The 21,263-nt window shown below is 45.6% G+C and overlaps 1 long non-coding RNA gene across 1 annotated transcript, besides 2 other annotated features; it reads left to right on the top strand.

The window, feature by feature from the left end:
- The first annotated feature begins 7,704 nt into the window (after window positions 1-7,704).
- LOC124909394 (uncharacterized) lies at window positions 7,705-8,350 on the top strand. Its single transcript, XR_007095960.1, has 2 exons — window positions 7,705-7,787; window positions 8,175-8,350. It is a non-coding gene; the product is annotated as an uncharacterized LOC124909394 (long non-coding RNA).
- Window positions 14,063-14,253: a silencer, noted in NCBI's record as "fragment chr3:72604422-72604612 (GRCh37/hg19 assembly coordinates)". NCBI's record gives its function as "represses an EF-1alpha promoter that drives an FKBP-Casp9 reporter gene in an ReSE screen in HepG2 liver carcinoma cells {active_cell/tissue: HepG2}" and the evidence as "EXISTENCE:reporter gene assay evidence [ECO:0000049][PMID:32094911]".
- Window positions 19,337-19,476: an enhancer, noted in NCBI's record as "active region_20089". NCBI's record gives its function as "activates an Ori minimal core promoter by ATAC-STARR-seq in GM12878 lymphoblastoid cells {active_cell/tissue: GM12878}" and the evidence as "EXISTENCE:reporter gene assay evidence [ECO:0000049][PMID:35858748]".

Below are 21,263 nucleotides of genomic sequence, written 5' to 3'. Positions count from 1 at the left end.
TTTAAAGACAAGAAAGTATTTACAATATGATTTCATTTAGTGTGTGTGTGTGTGTGTGTGTGTGTGTGTGTGTGTGTGTGTCTAAGCAGTGATTTATTTTTATTTTTATTTATTTTATTTTTATCTCACAGAGTGAGATGGGGTCTCACTCTGTTGCCCAGGCTGAAGTGCAGTGGCGTGATCTCAGCTCACCGCAACCTCTGCCTCCCGGGTTCAAGCGATTCTCCTGCCTCAGCCTTTCGAGTAGCTGGGATTACAGGCACTCACCACCACTCCCAGCTAATTTTTGTAATTTTAGTAGAGACGGGGTTTCACCATGTTGGCCAGGCCGGTCTCAAACTCCTGACCTTAAGTGATCTGCCCACCTCAGCCTCCCAAAGTGCTGGGATTACAGGAGTGAGCCACCATGCCTGCCCAAAGCAGTGATTTTAAACAGAGGGTGATTTTGTCCCTCTGTGGACATTTGATAATATCTAGAGATAGGTTTAGTTATCCCAAGTGGGGGTGGGGAGTGCCACTGGCATCTAGTGGGTGGGAAGACCAGGGGTGCTGATAAATATTCTACAGTTCACAGAACAGCCCCCTGCAAAAAAGATTTATCCCATCCAAAATATCAGTGGTGCCTGATTTTATATATATACACGCATATATATAAATACACTCACGCGCGCACGTACACACGCATGCAGAGAGAGAAAAAGTCTAGAAGGAATATCTCAGAATGTTAACAGTGGTTATCTTTGGGTGTAGGGTGGTTTTTTTAATTCATATCTTTATTTTCTAATGTTTTTTTAACAAGGAGCATGATTAAGTGTGGGGAAAAAATAGAAAATTATATAGCTACAATTGCCTTAGAAACAGCCCAGTTAGAGACAAGCAGCAGAGGGAGGAAGGTTTGGGGGGTAAGGTTTTCCAGGGGTTCGACACAATGCCATGTCAAGCCTCTTGGGGAAACGTTTCCCTGATTCTGCAGTCCACAGAAGCCGCTGGGGAAATAGGTCTGAGCCTGCGGGTCCCTGCGTGAAAAGCCACACCCATCCTCCAGGCGATCGGACCCTGAACAGTGGAGGTGAACTTGCAGGGGCGTGATGTGTACACGAGGGTGTGAGGCCCAGGCTTTGCCACAGTTATTCGTACTGGGCTCTCATACCCCTCACCTGCTCCTCACGCTGTTTGATGGCTCTGTTCGCTCTTTGCCCTTTTCTGGACCAATAGCACTGCAGACTTGGCGGCAGCTCAGTAACCACCTGGGTCACGGCTCCTTATGGGAAATAAAGAGAGAGACAATAGTGTCCTGGCTTAAAACAGAAAGGCTCCACCAGCTGCTTAGCAACTCTTGTGCGGGTTCCCTCCCAGGGCCGAGGAGCAGACATAAACCATCCCATAAAAAGAGAGCAAGAGGGGCCCAGACAATGCCTGGAAACTCACAGAGGGTCCTGGCAATCTTCCTACAAGCTCCATGAAGAACCAGAAAAGGCTAACTAAACAAAGGGCCACCCCCTGGCCCACCTCCTAAACCCTGTTCCTCATCAGGGGGAAGTACAGGCCTCTATCCTGAGCCTGTTACTTGAGTGTCTCAACATTTGAACCAGACCAAAGTTTCCCAGGGATGAGTCTAGCCAAGAACACCTCCTATCCTCCAAGATCCTATCCCTGCTTTCCACCCCATTATCCACGTTCATTTATAAAATTGATCATAGCTGTGCCCAGCTCCTTCTCAGTGCATGCTGAAGAAATCTCTGTCTGGCCAGAACTCTAAAGCACTGTCACATGTCAGAACTGGTGGATTCCTGGGCATGTGACCTTAGGTTAAGGATTGCAAATAGGTCACAAGTCCTACGCCAACTGTGAATGGTTAGAGGTGGCTGCCTGGAGTGTTGTGTTGAGAAGCTCCCAGGGACTTGGTCCAGGAGAGTAGAAAACGTGTTGTGATTGCTGCCCTCTCTCCGTGTGGGTGTTCATGGAGAGCTGTGCCCATGTGCTACTTTATTGTGGCCTCTGTCCTTGGCTGACCTTCTAACCACTTAGTTATTCCCAAATGTATTGGAATTTCTAAACTGCCATACCAACTGGCAATTATTGTCAGTTCTGAGGTGGGTATTTTTACAGATTACCAGCACCAAATAACCTTGGGGACTTACCAAAATGCAGATTCCCGGACCTCATCTGTGTTAGAATACCCTGACAACTTAGCAAAATAGGCAAATTTCTGGGCCGTACTCCCAAGCTCCTAATATAGAATATTTTGGAGGTAGGCATAGGAATCTTTCCTTTTACCAAGCACCCCCAGATGATTTGTATGTACAATGAATCTGATAACCATTAACCTAGGAATGTGTCTGCCTGGGCTGTCACACCTGAGAATATTCCTAAAATTATTACTTTAGATTGGCTTATGGTGGCTTAAAAATATGTCCAATATTCTTTGACACTTTTCCCTTCAAAAGATGAACCTACCAACATGGCAAAACCCCATCTCTATTAAAAATACAAAAATTAGGCGGGCATGGTGGCGGTTGCCTATAATCCCAGCTACTCAGGAGGCTGAGGCACAAGAATCGCTTGAACCCAGGAGGTAGAGGTTGCAGTGAGCCGAGATCATGCCACTGCACTCCAGCCTGGGCGACAGAGTGACGCTCCATTTTTAAAAAGCGTTGGCTGGACTTAGGGACTTACTAAGTGTGGGCTGCACTTAGAGACTCACTTGTAATGAATACTGTGGAGGATCTGACAGTAACATCCAAGATCAGAGCATAAAAGGGGTTTCAACCTCCTCCTGGCTCTCTCTTGGATCATCTGCTCTGAGGGAAGTCAGCTGCCATGTTCTGAGGACACTCAATCAGCCCTACAGAGAAGCCCAGGTGGTGAGAAACTGAGGCCTCCTGCCCACAGCCATGTGAGTGAGCAGCTTGGAGGCCCCACTCACCCCACGTGAGCTTTCAGAAGTATTTAGCCCTATTGATATTTGAGCAACCTCATGAGAGACCTTGAGCCAGAACCACTTAGAAAATCAGCTCCCAAATTTCTAACCCACAGAAACTGTGAGATCATAAATGTGTGTTGTTTGAAGCCTCTAAATTTGAGGGTATAGTCATCCCTTGGTATCTGCAGGGATTGGTTCCAGGACCCCTTCAGATACCAAAATCCATGGATGCTCAAGTTCCTGATATAAAAGGGTATAGTATTTGCCTATAATCTATGTACATCTTCCTGTATATTTGAAATTATCTCTAGATTACTTATAATACCTAATACAATGTAATGTTATGTATGAATAGTTGTTATACTGTATTCTTTTTTATTTGTATTATTTTTATTGTATTATTATTTTCGTTGTTATTTTTTGAATATTTTTGGTCCATGGCTGGTTAAATCCACAGATGTGGAATCCAAGGATAGTGTAGTTTGTTTTGCAGCAATAGATAACTAATACATGTGTAAAAAGTCAGTTTCCATTCATTTCTTGCAGGGCTACACTATTAACCTAATAAGCCACCCTTGGACAAAGTGAACTTAGCCTCCCCCAAGAAGGCTTTATTTTCCTCCAGCCAGTCTCCTGGGCTGAGATATAGAGAATATGCAGGGGGCTGTTCCCAGGCTACCTGAGACCCAGCCAGGCTCTTCTTCCATGCAGCTCAGGGGTGCGTTTGCCCAGAGCTTTGTTTGACATCCCACCTGTGTGTGTATACCCTCTGCCCTGCCTGCCAGTGCTGGCGCTAAGCCCTTAACACAGCTCACAAGGCCTTGAAAATCCAGTCCCAATTTCTCCCCAGCCCCATCTCCCACCATTTCACCTCTCTACATGCCTCCCAGTCCCCCCTGCATGGTGAACACTGGCATCTGAGCCTGCGGGTCTCTGCACATGCTCTCCCCCTGCCCAGGACACCCTGCCGTGCCCTGACATCACCTTCTCTGGAGCGTTCCTCAGCTTCCTGTGTCCCTTCCAGGCAGTATTGATTGCTTCTCCTCTGTTCCACCAGTGCTTTGCACACCCTGGGAACGACAAACCTTATTTTACGGTGTAGTTTTTGGTTTGGGGGTCTAGATGGTAGTTCTTTTAAAGGAGAATGGTTTAAGTGCCCAAAATACGAGCTTGTAGAATTTCTCTTTGTGTCTTCCTCCGGTCTAGCTCGGTGGTTCTCAAAGGTTAGTATACCTAAGAATTATTGTACAGGGAAGATGCAACTGGAATTTACATAGAATTCTGAATTTTAGATAAAACTGGAAGGCTTGGGGCAATTCTGACTTCCCTAATTCGCACCTTATGTGCCTGCATTTGAATGCATTCCTTATAGCGAATCCACTGTCGTAAGGCATCTAGAATGACAGATTGCCAAAGCTGAGAAGAACCTTTAAGATAATGTAGGCCTGTACTTCTAAAAATTTTGTGTTACATCTTCCTTTGATAATATAATGGAAACTACGAATAATCTCACTGGAAAACTTTGGCCACCTGAAATTCCTACATGAATTCCAAGTTCAAAATCCCTGAACAGATTACCAGCACCAAATAACTTTGGGGACTATATCCTTTTATATCAGGAACCTGAGCATCCATGGATTTTGGTATCTGAAGGGGTCCTGGAACCAATCCCTGCAGATACCAGGGGACGACTGTACCCTCAAATGTAAAGGCTTCAAAAAACACACATTTATGATCTCATAGTTTCTGTAGGTTAGAATTTGCGAGCTGATTTGCTAAGTGGTTCTGGCTCAAGGTCTCTCATGAGGTTGCTCAAATATCAACCGGGGCTAAAGACTTCTGCAACCTTTTTTACAGATGAAGAAAATGAGGCCCAGAGGAGGGCCAAGGCCTCAGAGCCCTGTGGTGAAAGAGCTGGGACTGTAATGCAGATCTCTTTACTTTCATGTTTCTGGTTTCTTCCCTTGATCAGGGGCCTCCCTTACAGCACCGTGGGTCAGGGCCAGTATAGCCTCTGCTTGGTGATGTTCAGAGACCGAGAACCCTTCCTTCACTGCTTTAGCCTGCTTGACACTTCATCCAAGTTTGGGCGGTTCAGCGGAAGCCTCTGTCCCTGGGGCCATTTCATCACCCAGAGGGTTCAAGTAGTGGGAAGGTTATGGCTTCCTTGGTCCTCTGAGAAGGGAGGACTGGGCCCAGAGTTTTTGACCACTGATTTGTGGCTGATGAGACTGGCATATCAGACAGACCAGAATTCATTATAAAGAAACTCAAGACAACAGTGAGGGCCAGTAGTAGAGCAGAGAGCAAAGAAATACAGGCTGAAATAAAGTCAAAAAATAGTTATCTGCATGAGCTAGCTAGAATCAAAACAGGTGCTTAAGGATACAGGAAGCTATAGTTGATTGTAGGGAAGATAAGAAGTGTAAGGAGAGAAATGGCCAAGAGCCAAGTGGTTCTCCCAGGAAGCTAAACTGTGAGAAAAATTGCCTATATCTGTCCCTGTAACTAGGTACTATAGAGGTGACTGGTTGATGTCTGTTAGGATAGTTTTGCTTTAAAAGTAAAGCATAAAAAACAAAGCTCCTAAAACTGTCTTGAACCAATAAAGAGAATTTATTAGGTTTTATTTACTTTAAGGTTCAGAGGGAGGTTAGACTTCAGGAATAGTTTGATCAAGGACGTGGCTCAGTTTCTCTGTAAGTTTCTCTGTTCTGCCCTTCTCTGTGCACTGGCTTTATCCTCAGACTGGCTTCCCTCATTGTAACAAAGTGGCTACAGCTGTCCCAGGCCTCATATCTGCACACTATACTCTCAGGAATAAGAGAGAGCTCTCTTTCTTCAATCACCAAACAGAAGTCCCTGAACATCATTCTTATTAATCACTGTGGCAAGGGAGATGAGATTATAATGAAGGACTTGGGCCAATCACAGCTCATCCTGGGGATGAGCTGGCTCAATTGCTTCTCCTCCGGAAGCTGTGAAAGGCAGGGAAATGGATTCTTCCCAGAAGCCTCCAGAAGGTACCAGCCCTGCCAATACACTGATCTCAAACTTCAGACCTCTAGGACTGCAAGAGAATAAATTTGTGTTGTGTTAAGCCACAAAATTTATTACAGCAGGAATAGTAAACTAATACAGATTTAATTCCCATGAAACTTTATAAAGTACACACTACTGTCATCATTTCCATTTTACTTATGAGGAAACTGAGCCTCAGACCAGCTAAGTAACTTTCCCAGCAGTTAAGTGGAACTCATACAAACCCTGAGCTACTACACATCAGAGCTGGGCCGGTGGAGGGTGGGGAGGCCACCACAGTGCTCATTCTGTGGATTTAAGGGGGCCATGGCACTATCTACTAGAATTCTGACAGCTGTTATTTTTTATTTTTATTTTTTTATTTTTGAGACGGAGTCTCGCTCTGTCGCCCAGGCTGGCGTGCAGTGGCACGATCTTGGCTCACTGCAACCTCCACCTCTCAGGTTCATGCCATTCTCTTGCCTCAGCCTCCCGAGTAGCTGGGACTACACGCACCCGCCACCACGCCCGGCTAATTTTTATATATATATATTTTTTAATAGAGACGGGGTTTCACCGTGTCAGCCAGGATGGTCTCGGTCTCCTGACCTCGTGATCCGCCCGCCTTGGGCTCCCAAAGTGCTGGGATTACAGGCGTGAGCCATCGCGCCCAGCCCCCTGTTACCTTTTTTAAAGGTCCTGGTTTGGTATGGTCCACACTCCATTTCTGGAGATTTCTTTTGACTCCTTCTTCAGATGTGACTGAGCCCCTCTGAGTCCTACCTGCTCCTCTTGCAAGTTTGGGAACCTGGCACTGAAAGATGCGGATTCAGTGTTTAGAAGTCACAGAAAATTAGGACAGGAAGGGATCGTTTGAAGTCATCTGATCCAACTCCTCATTTCAATTTTTTTATAGAGGTGCTTCCCGTCTGGACTCCAAATCCTGTGGTCTTTCTCTGACCCAGTGGGAGGCTCTAGAGTGTAAGGTTTAGGAGGCCAGTTTTGACATAGTGCTGCCACTTAACTGCTGGGAAAGTTACTTAGCTGGTCTGAGGCTCAGTTTCCTCATAAGTAAAATGGAAATGATGACAGTAGTGTGTACTTTATAAAGTTTCATGGGAATTAAATCTGTATTAGCTTACTATTCCTGCTGTAACAAATTTTGTGGCTTAACACAACACAAATTTATTCTCTTATAGTCCTAGAGGTCTGAAGTATGAGATCAGTGTATTGGCAGGGCTGGTACCTTCTGGAGGCTTCTGAGGAGAATCCATTTCCCTGCCTTTCATAGCTTCCAAAGGCTGCCTGCATTCCTTGGCTTGTGGCCCCTTCCTCCATCTTCACAGCACATCACTTCATCCTGTTTCCATAGTCACATCTCCTTTCTTCGTCTTTGATCCTCCTGCCTCCCTGTTATAAGGAGCCTTGTGATTACATTGGTCTCACCTGGATAATCCAGAATAATCTCTCCATTTAAAGAGCCTTAACTCAATCACATCTTCAAAATTCCCTTTGCTATGTAAGAAAACATATTCACAGGTTCTGGGTATTGAAATGTGCACATCTTTTTGGGGCGGGGGCAGAGGTTGCTTTATTCTGTTTATGATAAAGTAACAACTAATGTAAAAGCATTAATTGCATAGCACCAGGTATGGAATAAGCATTCAACAAATGGCATTAGTATCATTTAGGGACCACCTACTAGTGCCCATAATCAAAATAGATATAGTTTTTGCCTTTGTGTCTTTGTGTCTTATCCAGTGTCCATAAGCCAAGGAATGCAGGCAGCCTTTGGAAGCTGTGAAAGGCAGGGAAATGGATTCTCTCCAGAAGCCTCCAGAAGGTACCAGCCCTGCCAATACCCTCATCTCATTTGATACTAATGCCATTTGTTGAATGCTTATTACATACCTGGTGCTACGCAATTAATGCTTTTACATTAATACTTTATCGTAAACAGAATAAAGCAACCTCTGCCCCCGCCCCAGGTGATTCTATCAGCCAGCCTTTCCTGTGTAATCAACTACCCTAAAGCTTACTAACGCAAAACAACTACCATTTATTTAGCTCTCAGTTTAGTAAGTCATCAGTTTCAGTTCTTCTGGTCTGGTCTGGGTTTAGCTAGTTTCCACTGGGCTCCCCCATGGTCACTGGGGCTGCTGGTTTATAATGGTCTTGGCTGGAATGAATGGGGCCTCTCTCCAAGTGTTTTTTTTTTTTCACCCAACAGGCTAGCCCAGGCTTGTTTGCATGTTGGTGGAAAGGAGCAACAAGAATAGTGAGACCTCTTAAGTCCTAGGCTTCGAACTGACACGTTGTCACATCCGCCACTTCTACGGATCAACAAAAATCACAAGGTCAGCCCTGATTCAAGGGCTTAGAAAATAAACTTAATCTCTGATGAGAGAAGTAGTATTGTGTCCCTTTTTACAATCTACCACAATGACATTGCAGGGAAGAGAAAGGAAGCATTGAAGTTGCATGCCAGTAGAATAGTTACTAGGGAAGAATTTCCCTCTGGAAAGTTCCCCAGGAAGGGAGGCAACAAGGCTTCAACAACCTGTTTAGGAGTGGCCCTGGGGTGGCTAATTATTCTTGTGCTCTCTGTGAAGGACAACACATTAGCATATTTCTTTCTCAGTGTGCTAAAATGCCAGGCCCCAAGATCTCTATTATAAATGACACAATTAAGTCCTTGGCAAGAAAAAGTCAAGTTCACCAGCCTCTCTTCTGTTTTTCAGAAAGCTAGTAGGACAAGCAGAGTTACTACACCAAAGTCCACACGAGTGACAAAAACACAGATTTTGAGAAATTGAGAGAAGTCATTGGAACATTAAATTCCTTTAAAACAAAGGCTTCTATTTGTCATTAGCAAATGTAGTGAAAAAAAGCAGGATGTAAAACAGTTGATCCAGCCTTATCCTAATTCTTTTAAGAGAAAAATATTTACTTATATGTAGGCCTAGAAAAATGATTGGAAAGACATATATGTATGTGTGTGTATATATATATATTTATATATATCTCACAATATTAACAGCAGTTAGATATCTTTGCTGGGATTAGAGATGACTTTTTTCTTTCTACTTCTCCGAAATTTCCTAATTTCTATAATAAACCTGAATTACCTTAGTAATCAGGAAAAAATTTAATTAAAAAAAAAACCCACAATGGATTCTTTTTTTTTTTTTTTTTTTTTTGAGACGGAGTCTTGCTCTATTGCTCAGACTGAAGTGCAGTGGCTCTATCTGAGCTCACTGCAACCTCCGCCCCCCGGGTTCAAGCGATTCTCCTGCCTAAGCCTCTCAAGTAGCTGGCTGGGATTACAGACGCATGCCACCATGCCTGGCTAATTTTTGTATTTTTAGTAGAGATGGGATTTCACCATGTTGGCCAGGTTGGTTTTGAACTCCTGACCTCAAGTGATCTGTCTGCCTTGGCCTCCCAAAGTGCCAGGATTACAGGCGTGAGCCACCGCGCCCAGGCCACAATGGATTCTAATTGCTTCAACATTTTAAAAATGAAGCCCTAAGTTATTTGATTATGTTGTTAATGGTATTTGCTGGAATTGGGACTTTCATATTTTTCCCTTTAAAATTATCCTGGGGCACTAAGTTACACATGTAGGTCTTGAACTCCTAATTTCAAGTTTATAAAATGTATTAATTAGTGCAAGTGCCTTTCATTTGTCCAATCTCTCAATTCTCTAGATGCTGGGAGCTCAAAACTCTTTAGCAAGTTAGGTACCCAGAGGCCATTCCACTGACTTTTTTTGAACAAATTACTCTACAGAGCTGTGATTTAATATCTTGCTCTCAGCTTTTATCAGGGGTCGATGCTGATATACCGAACAGGCCTGCAAAGAACATTTCTGCATCTTTTATAGAACTACTGCCAAAGGCCTTTTCTTTTATTTGGTTCACACTCCTTTCTACAGAGATCCCCTCAGTCAATTCCCCTTGTGTACCTTATGAGGAAGTTTGGTTTCTATAGTGCACTGGTGTGGTTCGTGTTAGGGAACCTTGAGATGAGGTCATTTATCTTGTTTTCCTTTTGCCTTTGCTGCTGGGAAGCTTAGAATCAAATTTTGTGCTCAATGAAGGCAACTATCCTTAACCAAGGTTTTCTATCTTGCTGAATAGTACCACCATCTATCCATCTCACTGAAGCTAGAAATTCCAGACAACATTCTAGAATTTTCTGCTGTCTTGCAGTTATTACCAGATGAAGGCATTCAGGAAATGTCACCCCAAAACATGCTGGTTTGGTATTCTGATTGCTTTGGCCTGAGGGCATTCAGGGAATAGCAATACAGGCAGAGCTTTCTCTGGGTTCCCTTTATCTGCCTAAAGTGGACTCCCCAAAAGAAACTCAGTGGTCATGAATCCCCTCCCTGGACTCTCATCAACCAGGGAAGATTGGCTCCTATCACAGGAGAGGGGACAGGAGGTCGATGCCATGCCAAGACAGACTTTGTCACAGGTTGTTGTGTATTCTTCTGAGGGCCCATTTATCTTTCCCCCAAATCATCCATTTTCCCTTAAGTTGCCAAAACCCCCTCCCCTGTCATACATGAAGACAGGATCTAAACTTCTAGATCTTACTGGATTTGGGGGTATTCACTTTTCTTTCATGTAATGCCTCTGTGCATGTAATCAATGTGTTCACCTTTTCTTCTTTAGTATTAGTCCATTCTCCCATTGCTATAAAGAAATACCTGAAGCAGCCTGGCCAACATGGTGAAATCCCATCTGTACTAAAAACACAAAAATTAGCCGGGCATGGTGGTGCATGTTTGTCATCCCAACTACTTAAGAGACTGAGATATGAGAATTGATTGAACCCAGGAGGCAGAGGTTGCAGTGAGCAGAGATTGCGCCACTGAATTCTAGCCTGGGCAACAGAGTGAGACCCTGCCACAAAAACAAAACAAAACAACAAAAAAACCCTGAGACTGGGTAATTTATAAAGAAAAGAGGTTTAATTGGCTCATGGCTCTTCAACTGTACAGGAAGCATTATGCTGATGTCTGCTTGGCTTCTGGGGTGGCCTCGGGAAACTTACAATCATGGCAGAAGGCAAAAGGGAGTCAGCAGGTCACATGGCGAAAACAGGAGCAAGAGAGAGAGGCAGGAGGTGCTACACACTTTTAAACAACCAGATTGCTTGTGAATTCACTCACCATCTCTATCTTGAGGACAGTACCAGGGGGATGGTACTAAACCATTCATGAGAAATCTGCCCTTATGATCCAATCACCTCCTACCAGGCTGTAGGATATAGTAAATTCCTCTTCCAAGTTTAGCCTGTTAACTTCCTTTAAAATTCAAGAGGGAGAAAAATTGTTAAGTACAATAAGTTCTGAGTTCTTCTTCAAAGAACCAATATGTCAGTACGTTCAGCTTCCCTGTTCTTTGTTCTCCATTTTAAAGCTAACTTCCTCATTCTTTACCTTCCTTGCCCGTAGTTTCAGTAAACAACCCCCTCCTAGCCTCTATCACCTGTTCTGTCCTTAGGCATCCTTAGTCGCCTGTTCTGTCCTTAGTAATCCTTAGTCACCTGCTCTGTAACTGTCCCTCCCGCCAAAACTACTCACCCCACCACTCTGGCTCATACCCTTGCTCTCTTTAAAATAGCCAATCAGAATTAGCTTAGACTGTGCTGTCCAACCCTAGCCAATAGGGGAAAGACACAACAGTAGGGGCTACCTGTGTCAGGAATAAGAACCCCTTCCCCTCCATCGTCCGGTGTGCTCTCGCCATTGCTCCATCTGTGAGACGCACCCTTCTATAGAAGTAAATTGCCTTGCTGAGAGAACTTTTGCCTGAGTGCTATTTTCACTTGGCAGCACCGAGCATTTACTTCCAACAAGGCCCCACCTCCAACATTGGAGATTACAATTCGACATGAGATTTGGACTGGGACACATCCAAACTATATCACCTGTTCATCTGCCTACTATCAGCTGATTTCATAGATGCAATTATCAAGTGCCTCATAGGGTAGAGGGAAAGTCTGCCCTCTCCTACACAATCCTGGAGCATTTTCCTTCTAAGGATCTCTCCAGTGTGTTCACCACTCTGTATTCCTATAGTCTCCTTTTAGTTCAGCCATCATTTTATGCTTGGATTGCTCAGTATTTCCTAAATCTCATCTTCCCCATTCCTACAAAAATCTTCTCCCCAAAATGTCCACCTTCCATACCAAGATGAGCAAGTGGTCTTTGTAACATGCCAATCTAATCTGGCAAGTTAAAAATCTTTCCTCACGCCTGTAATCCCAGCACTTTGGGAGGCTGAGGCGGGTGGATCATGAGGTCAGGAGATCAAGACCATCCTGGCTAACGTGGTGAAACCCCGTCTCTACTAAAAATACAAAAAATTAGCTGGGCGTGGCGATGGGCGCCTGTAGTCCCAGCTACTTGGGAGGCTGAAGCAGGAGAATGGCATGAACCCGGGAGGCGGAGCTTGCAGTGAGCTGAGGTCGCATGCCACTGCGCTCCAGCCTGGGTGACAGAGCGAGACTCCGTCTCAAAAAAAAAAAAATCTTTCCTTGTGAAGTGTTAACTCCTTCACTTCTCTCTCTTTCTTTCTTGTTTTTGAGACAGAATCTCTCTCTGTTGCCCAGGCTGGAGTGCAGTGGTGCGATCTTGGCTCACTGCAACTTTCTCCTCCTGGGTTCAAGCAATTCTCGTGCCTCAGCCTCCCAAGTAGCTGGAATTACAGTCATGCGCTACCACGCCTGACTAATTTTCATATTTTTAGTAGAGACGGGGTTTCACCATGTTGGCCAGGCTGGTCTCGAACTCCTGAGCTCAAGTGATCTACCCACCTTGGCCTCTCAAAGTGCTGGGATTACAGGCATGAACCACCGTGCCCGGCCTCCTTTGCTTCTCTTGCATAAGTCTCTATCTGCTTCTCTCAACTCTCATCTTCCAGCTTTTTACTCCAGCCATACAAGCTGTACTCTCCCTTGTCTCTGGGATTCCATTTTCTCAGTTGCTTTTCTCTCTTCTCCAGCTCCTCTTTGGCATGGTTCATACCATGGATTTTGCTTCAGAGTTTATGACTAAAGCCTTCCCTGGTTCCTTCTGTCATCTGAGACCGGTTAGGTATTCCTACTGTGAGTCCCCAAAGTTGTCCGCACTTCCCCTAACATAGCACTTGCCATGGTGAATTGTAGGGTAGGTTTCCTTTTCTGTCTCCTGCTCTAAACTGTAAGACCCAGGAGGGCAGGTTCTAGGTCTACCTCCTGTTATACCTTCAGGGCCAGCATAGCACCTGGTCCACAGTAGATGCTCACTAAGTATTTGTTAAAAGAATCAATCAATAAATAAACTAGTGTTTTGGCACTAAAAAAAAATCTTCCTCCCCCCACCTCCTCTCCTCTACCCTCATTATTTATCTATTGTTTGTCCCTATTGTTTTATATTTCTGCTTCCATAAACCAATCTGTAAATTTTTTTTCAAAAATGGCCACAATGTCCCACTCCTTGCAGCATGACCTTATCAAGAGGTGGCACCTATTTTCCCACCTCTTGAATCATTGCTGGCACCCCCATGGATAATACGCAGCTGATTGAGTGTGTGGCCGACTGCATCTGTCCTTGCATGTTTCTGCTCCCTCCCTTGGAACTGCACTGCTGCCATGTGAACAAGCCTGAGCTAGCCTGCTGGATGGTGAGAGACACAAGGCTGAAACTCCACCATCACCCCAGCCAACAGCCTGCTGGCCTCCAGATGTGTAAGTGAGGCCATCGAAGACTAGACAGCCCCAGACAACCTGTCACTGATGTTAGATGTCTGAGTGAGCCCAGTGGAGGTCAGCTCCGCTGGACCCAGATCAGTGGACATGCCTAATTTGAGAAATAGACTTGAGAGCAATAACAAAGGCTTGTCTTAAGCCCCCACATATCAAGGTGGTTTCTTATAGTACACCTTGCTATCTTTCCTGGAAACTGACCTCAAGTGACACCATCCAACACACAGGGAGACATTTTGAAGCCTCCAGAGGGTTAGGGTCAACCTGGTCCTCTTTTTCTCCAGCAACTTGGGGCACACACCCCAAATCTGTTTTTTGTTTGTTTGTTTTGTTGTTTTTTTTTTTTCTGAGACAAGGTCTCACTCTGTTGTCCATGCTGGAGTGCAGTGGTGAGATCATAGCTCACTGCAGCCTCAAACTACTGGGCTCAAGCTATCCTCCCACCTCAGCCTCCCGAGTAGATGGGACTACAGGTGCGTGCCACCGTACCTGGCTAACTTTTAAATTTGTTTTGTAGAGATAGGGGTCTTGCTATGTTGCCCACTCTGGTCTCAAACTCTTGGGCTCAGGTGATCCTCCCACCTCAGCCTCCCAAAGTGCTGGGATTACAAGTGTGAGCCACCGCAACCAGCCCCGAATCGTTTTTTAAAGACAGAATTATAAAGTGTGCCCCAATTTTTAGATGATCAAATTCCTCTTACATCCTTCTCATCTCTGCTTTACTTCTTCTAGCCCTTTCTTCTGCCCTAAAAAGCAAAATGAAACTGAATTTAATTTCTCTTCCCTGGTCTCAGAGTGTCTGCATTTTGCTTGCATTGGGATCCTTTCAACTAGCCCAGTGACTGGCTCTGAGTTCGGTGTGGCCTGCTGCTCATAACTGGCTCCTCCATGACCTCCGGCAAATGACTTAATCTCTCTGAGCCTCAACTTTTCTCATCTGTAAAATGGGCTGAGGTGGGAGGATTGCTTGTGTCCAGGAGTTTGAGGCTGCAGTGAGCTATGATCTTGCCACTGCATTCCAGCCTGGGTGACAGAATGAGACCCCATCTTCAAAGATAAAAAGTAAACAAAATAAGAAACCGAGAGCCAGTTGCTCAGGCTAAGGTCTGACGCTTACCAGCCAAGGGATATTGGCCAGGTCATTTAGAAGTAGTCAGCTTTTAGGGCTTTTAGAGAGGTGCTTCTCAAACTTCAAAGTGCAAGATCCTTAGGGGATCTTGTTCAAATGCAAATTCTGATTCAGTGTGTAGGTGCTATGGTTTGAATGATGGTGTCCCCTCCAAAATTCTTGTTCAGAATTAATCTGGCCAGGCACAGTGGTTCATGCCTGTAATCTCAGCATTTTGGGAGGCTGAGGCAGGCGGATCACTTGAGGTCAGGAGTTTGAGACCAGCCTGGCCAACATGGCAAAACCCTGTCTCTACTAAACATACAAAAATTAGCTGAGCGTAGTGGCAGGCACCTGTAGTCCCAGCTACTTGGGAGGCTGAGGCAGGAGAATCACTTGAGCCTAGGAGGCAGAGGTTGCAGTGAGCCGAGATCATGTCATTGCACTCCATCCTGAGTGACAGAGCGAGACTCTGTCTCAAAACATAAATAAATAAGTAAATAAACAAAATTAATCCATAATGCAAGAGTATTAAGAGGTGTAGCCTTTGGGAGGTGATTAAGTCATGAGGATGCCACTCTCATGAATGGGATTAGCACCCTTATAAAAGGGCTCAAGGTTGAAAGGGATGCTCTTTTGTCCTTCCATCCCTTGCGCCATGTGAGGACATAGCATTCCTCCTATCTGGAGAACACAGTGTTCAAGGCATCACCAGATACAAAGACCGATGGCACCTCCACCTTGGACATCCTGACCTCTAGAATTGTGAGAAGTAAGTTTCTTTTCTTTTTATTTTTTTTTTTTTTCATTTTGAGATGGAGTCTTGCTCTGTCACCCAGGCTGGAGCACAGTGGATGTGATCTCGGCTCACTGCAACCTCCATTCCCCAGGTTCAACCCATTCTCGTGCCTCAGCCTCTCGAGTAGCTGGGAAACCAGTGCGTCAGGCTAATTTTTGTATTTTTAGTAGAAACAGGTTTTCCCCATGTCGGCCATGCTGGTCTTGAACTCCTGGCCTCAAGTGATCTGCCTGCTTCAGCCTCCCAAAGTGCTGGGATTAAAGGTGTGAGCCACTGCGCCCAGTTAGAAGTAAGTTTCTATTGCTAGTATATTATCCAATTCGTGGTATTTTGTTACAGCAGCACAAACAGACGAAGACAGTTGGAATGCTGTGGGACCTGAGCTTCCTCATTTACACAAGCTGCCAGGTGATGCTTGTCACTGTTAGTAACTGGCTGCTGTTCAGTGACAGGAGCACCCAATGGCGTGGCTGTAACCCTGGCTGCACATTAGAATCACATAGGAAGCTCCAATCACATTCCATGTCAGGTCCCACCCCTGCAAATCTTGATTTGATTGGTTTAGGGTGGGGTTGAAGCATTGGAAGCTTAGAAACTCTCCCCTAGTGATTCTGTTGTGCAACCAGGATAGAAAACCACTGGCTTGGTCCATACTCCTCGTCATCTACGGCTTTAGGTAAGGGAACTATATAATTTATTGTCCAAGCTGGAGCACATTTTATTTTATTTTATTTATTTTTTAATTTTTATTTTCTAGATGGAGTCTTGCTCTGTTCGCCCAGGCTGGAGTGTAATAGTATGATCTCGGCTCACTGCAACCTCAGCCTCTCAGGTTCAAGTGATTCTCTTGCCTCAGCCTCCCCAGTAGCTGGGATTACAGGCGCCCGCCACCACTCCTGGCTAATTTTTGTATTTTTAGTAGAGACGGGGTTTCACCATGTTGGCCAGGCTGGTCTCAAACTCCTGGCCTCCAGTGATCCGCTCACCTTGGCCTCCCAAAGTGCTGCGATTACAGGCCTGAGCTACCACACCCAGACTGGAACACGTTTTAGAGAAAAAGAAGTCTCAGATGATAACCACACAGGTTCAGCAGGTGTAAACCAGGGTTGTCCTGGGCAAATCTGGATGCATTAACCGTAGCTTTGTGGGGTCCCAGCCTTGCCCAAGGTCACAAAGGTGATTAGTGGTAGAGCCAGGACTTGAAACCAAGTCTGGTGGCCCTCAATTAAGTTCTCATTTCACTTCCTTGTTACCTTAATTATTCAGTCTCTGAAATGGGAATAAGAATGTTTATCTTGTCAACCCAAATCTAGGGTGACTATGGCTATAAAAGGAGGCCATAATCCATGTAAATGTGCTTTAAAAAGTCAAGCAGCTCTACGGAATTGGAAGGCATTTGTATTACTGTGAGTCTGTGGTATTTCCTGTAAACTAATGATGAGCTCCAGAGGCTTGATGAGATTCAGGTTCATCATTTGTGGCAAGACTCTTATAAATGGTGCCTGTACTTGCCGTTGCATCCCATTGAGAGGTTTCTGATGTCATAATATCAGGTTGTATCTGTCACCGATATACATTGTAGTATTCAAAAGTGAAATGAGCCGGGTGCAGTGGCTCACACCTATAATTTCAGCACTTTGGGAGGCTGAGGTGGGAGGACAGCTTGAGGTCAGGAGTTCAAGACCAGCTTGGGCAACATAGCGAGACTTCTGTCTGTACAAAATAAAGAAAAATTAGCCTGGTGCAATGGCACATACTTGTAGTCCCAGCTACTCGGGAGGCTGAGGTGAGCGAATAGCTTGAACCCGGGGGTTTGAGGTTGCACTAAGTCATGATCGTGCCACTGCACTCCAGCCTGGGTGACAGAGTGAGATCCTGTCTCACAAAAAAAAAAAAAAAAAAAAAAGGAAAAGAAAAGAAATGATCACCTGTCAATAGCCATCCCCAAATGGGCTGTGAGTGATGGCACTGCGTCAATGTAGGTTCATCAGCTGTAACAAATGTGCCACTCTGGTACATGCTGATAGTTGGGGGGGCTGTGCATGGGGAGCAGGGGGTATGTGGGAACTCTCTGTACTTTATGCTCAAGTTTGCTGTGTACCTGAAGCTATTCCTACTCTAAAAAATAAAGTATATTACACAATTGCTTTTATTTTGTTTTGCTTTTTGAGATGGAGTCTTGCCCTGTCCCCCAGGCTGGAGTGCAGTGGTGCAATCTCCGCTCACTGCAACCTCTTGCCTCCCAGGTTCAAGCAATTCTCCTGCCTCAACCTCCCAAGTAGCTGGGATTACAGACACCCGCCACCATGCCCAGCTAATTTTTTATGTTTTTAGTGGAGACGGGGTTTTGCCATGTTGGCCAGGCTGCTCTCAAATTCCTGACCTCAGGTGATCCGCCCACCTCAGCCTCCCAAAGTGCTGGGATTACAGGCTTGAGCCACCGTGCCCAGCCTCCAGCTAATTTTTTAAATGCATTATTAGTGGAGACAGGGTTTCACCGTGTTGGCCAGGATGGTCTCTAACTCCTGACCTCAAGTGATCTGCCAGCCAATTGCTTTTAATGATCCAAGGAGGGATGAAAAAGGGGGCTGGGGCAGAGAGAGAGAGAGAGAGAGAGAGAGAGAGATGAAATAAGAATGGCAAAATATGGTTGTTGAAGCTGGGCAATGGTACATGGGGTTCATTGTGCTATTCTCTCCTGTACATTTGAACATTTCTGTAATGAAAATTAAACGGAAGAAAACACTACTGAGGAATGCCCCTAAGAAGATGCAGCAGACACAGTTGGTTGCTTGTAACTCAATATTCACTTTCTGACACCCCTCCACCCACAGCTGGTTGGACACTTGACCAGGCTGAGCCAATCAAATCTGTTTTCACCAGAATTTTAAATAAGAGTAAAAATTCTAGACTAGCTGTTGCTGGGCACCAGAGCTACAAACTTACATGGGGTTATGATCAGTGCAAGCTAAGTAATGGGGCAGCACAAAACAGAAGTTTATGAAATGAGTAAGCTGAGGAAGAGGAGAGGAGAAAGAGAGGAAGAGCAAGAGAGAAAAGGGGAGAGGGTGAGACAAAGGAAGGAGGGAAGGGAAAAGCAGGGGGAGAGAAATGGGTCCGGAGTGGGGGAATGAAGAGTAAGTGTGTGCAGAGAAAGTGAAAGAGTTTAGTTGGTTATAGTGCTCCCCGCCAAGGTATGTTCACCCAGAACCTCGGAATAAGACCTTATTTGGTGCACACTTACTAAGAACCAGGAAGAAAAAAAAGAAAATAACAAATTTAAAAAGAAAAAGAAAAAATACCTTATTGGAGAAAAAGGTCTTGGCAGATGTAATTGAGTTAAAGATCTAGAGATGAGATAATCCTGGATTTAGGGTGGGCCCTAAATCCAATGACTGGTGTCTTCATATGGGAAAGGACGGAGACATGACACCCAGAGACACAGCGGCGGGGCCATGTAAAGATGGAGGCAGAGATTGGAGTAATGTGGCCACAAGCCAAGAAATGCCAAGGATTGCTGAAGCCACCGGAAGCTGGGGGAGGCAGGGGATGGAGGCTGCTTTCTCAGAGCCTCCAGAAGGAACCAACCCAGCCAATACCTTCATTTTGGACTTCAGGCCTCCAGAACTGTGAGAAAACAAACTTCTGTTGTTTGAAGCCACCCAGTTTGTGGTGACTTGCTATGGCAGCCCTAGGAATCTATTTCATCCTAAGAGAGAGGGAAAGGACAAGAGGAGGAGGAGGGAGGGCAAGGGAAGAAAGCAAAAGTGAAAGCAGGAAGGAAGAGGAGAGAGAAAATCGAAGCAGAGGCACAGAGAGAGGTGAGACCGTGGCCTGCTCCTCCCCACAGTACCTGCCCCTGGACTTCCTTGTTCATCTGACGACCGGGCCTTAGGTGCCTATCGTGACATTACCTCCTCACCTTCCACCCTTTTCCTTGAGTGTGTCTACTCCTCACATCCTGGTCTTAGCAAGCCCCCTAGGGAGGGATGCAGCCCTGCAGTTGAGCTCCGTCACCTAGGCAGCCCTAGGCTGGCACTGGGGACAGGGGCAGGGATGCTGACTGAGGCCAGATGGCTTCCAGTGGGGTGGCTGCTGCCAGCAGTGCATATGGGATGCATGGGGAGGGCGTGCTGGTGACAGGCGGCTCTTCACTCCTTGCATCCCTCCATCTCACTGCAGAGGTCCCCCGGGACCCTCTCCAAATGCTGATGAGCCCCACCAAGGGCTGCGTGGCCCCCTCTGAAGTTGGTACCATCAGAGTCTCCACCTCGAATGCTCCAGAACAAAGGCACATCCTTGGGGATTCTATAAAGACTAAGTCTCTTGCTCTCTACCTCTGTCATGTCACGTTATTTTTTATTCGCCACCATAGCCAATATTTTCAAAGCCCTCCTTCTGTGCCAGGTGCAGTACCAAGTGCTGTACAGGCATTGTCTTCGCGGATGCACCTGCTGCGACCTCACATTAAAAGGAGAAACGGACGCTGATCAGGGAGGAAAAGACCCTGCCCGAGGACCCTGGAAGGTGAGAGCCAGGCTCAGAATGTGACCCCAAGGGCTGCCCTTTACCCCCTGTGCTCTGCTGCCTCTCTGTGTGCATGCCTTGAATGAGGATGATCCTCGACTCCAATGTGTTTCCACATACTCAATTGTTAGTGAAATAACAGATTTTTATAAGCTGTTAGCTGGGAAAATGAGGAACTGAATGGTTCTTCCCTGGGCTTCTCAGCCCCAGGAGTTCTCTTCCGTTCATAGCAACTACACCCAGCTGTCTCCATGAGGAGCGCTAAGGAGGGGTGAAGGGAAACAGTGGGAAGGAGGAGGTTTAAATGCACTCTGATGGGAATGTCTGGGAAACAAAGCCCAGGCATGAGCTTACTTCTTTACTTCCTTTCTGCTCTTCCCCCGGACTTTTTTGGGTCTGTATTAGAGCTCATCCCAGTTGCCCTGAGTCTCCCTGCCAACCTGGGACACCCCCATCCCAGCCTTGCCCAGGCTGCCATTAGCGTCACAGATGGTGTGGGGCCCTGGGAGAGTCAACTTCCCCTCTCTGGGCCTCACTGTCCTCATCTCACAAATCAAGACAATAATAATATCTACCTTAAAATCATACCTTAAATATGTGCAGTGTACCGTATGTCAAGTACACTTTAATCAAGAGGTTTTCAAAAGCACAGCACTCTGTGGTTTAGGGGTGCCTGCTTAGGTGTCTTCAACAAAGCAAGGAAGCTATTACCAACTGGGAGGGAAGAGGTGGTGGCCTGGACAGGATGTGAGGCCCCTGGGATATGGACAACTTACCTGGACCTGGGCAGTGAGGAAGCAGATGTTAGTTGATAATACTTTGTTAAACTCTACATTTATGCTTTTGGTGTTTGTGAATACAAATTTTTTGTTTTTTGTTTTTTGTTTTTTTGAGATGGAGTTTCACTCTTGTTGCTCAGGCTGGAGTGCAATGGCGTGATCTCGGCTCACTGCAACCTCCGCCTCCCGGGTTCAAGTGATTCTCTTGCCTCAGCCTCCCAAGTAGCTGGGATTACAGGTGCACACCACCACTCCCAGCTAATTTTTTTTTTGTATTTTTAGTAGAGATGGGGTTTCTCCATGTTGGTCAGGCTGGTCTTGAACTCCTGACCTCAGGTGGTCTGC

The sequence above is a fragment of the Homo sapiens genome, chromosome 3, assembly GCF_000001405.40.
Source record: "Homo sapiens chromosome 3, GRCh38.p14 Primary Assembly".
Taxonomy (NCBI): Eukaryota; Metazoa; Chordata; class Mammalia; order Primates; family Hominidae; genus Homo; species Homo sapiens.
The sequence above is the reverse complement of the archived record's forward strand: the minus strand, read 5'-3'. Positions and strand labels throughout refer to the sequence as shown.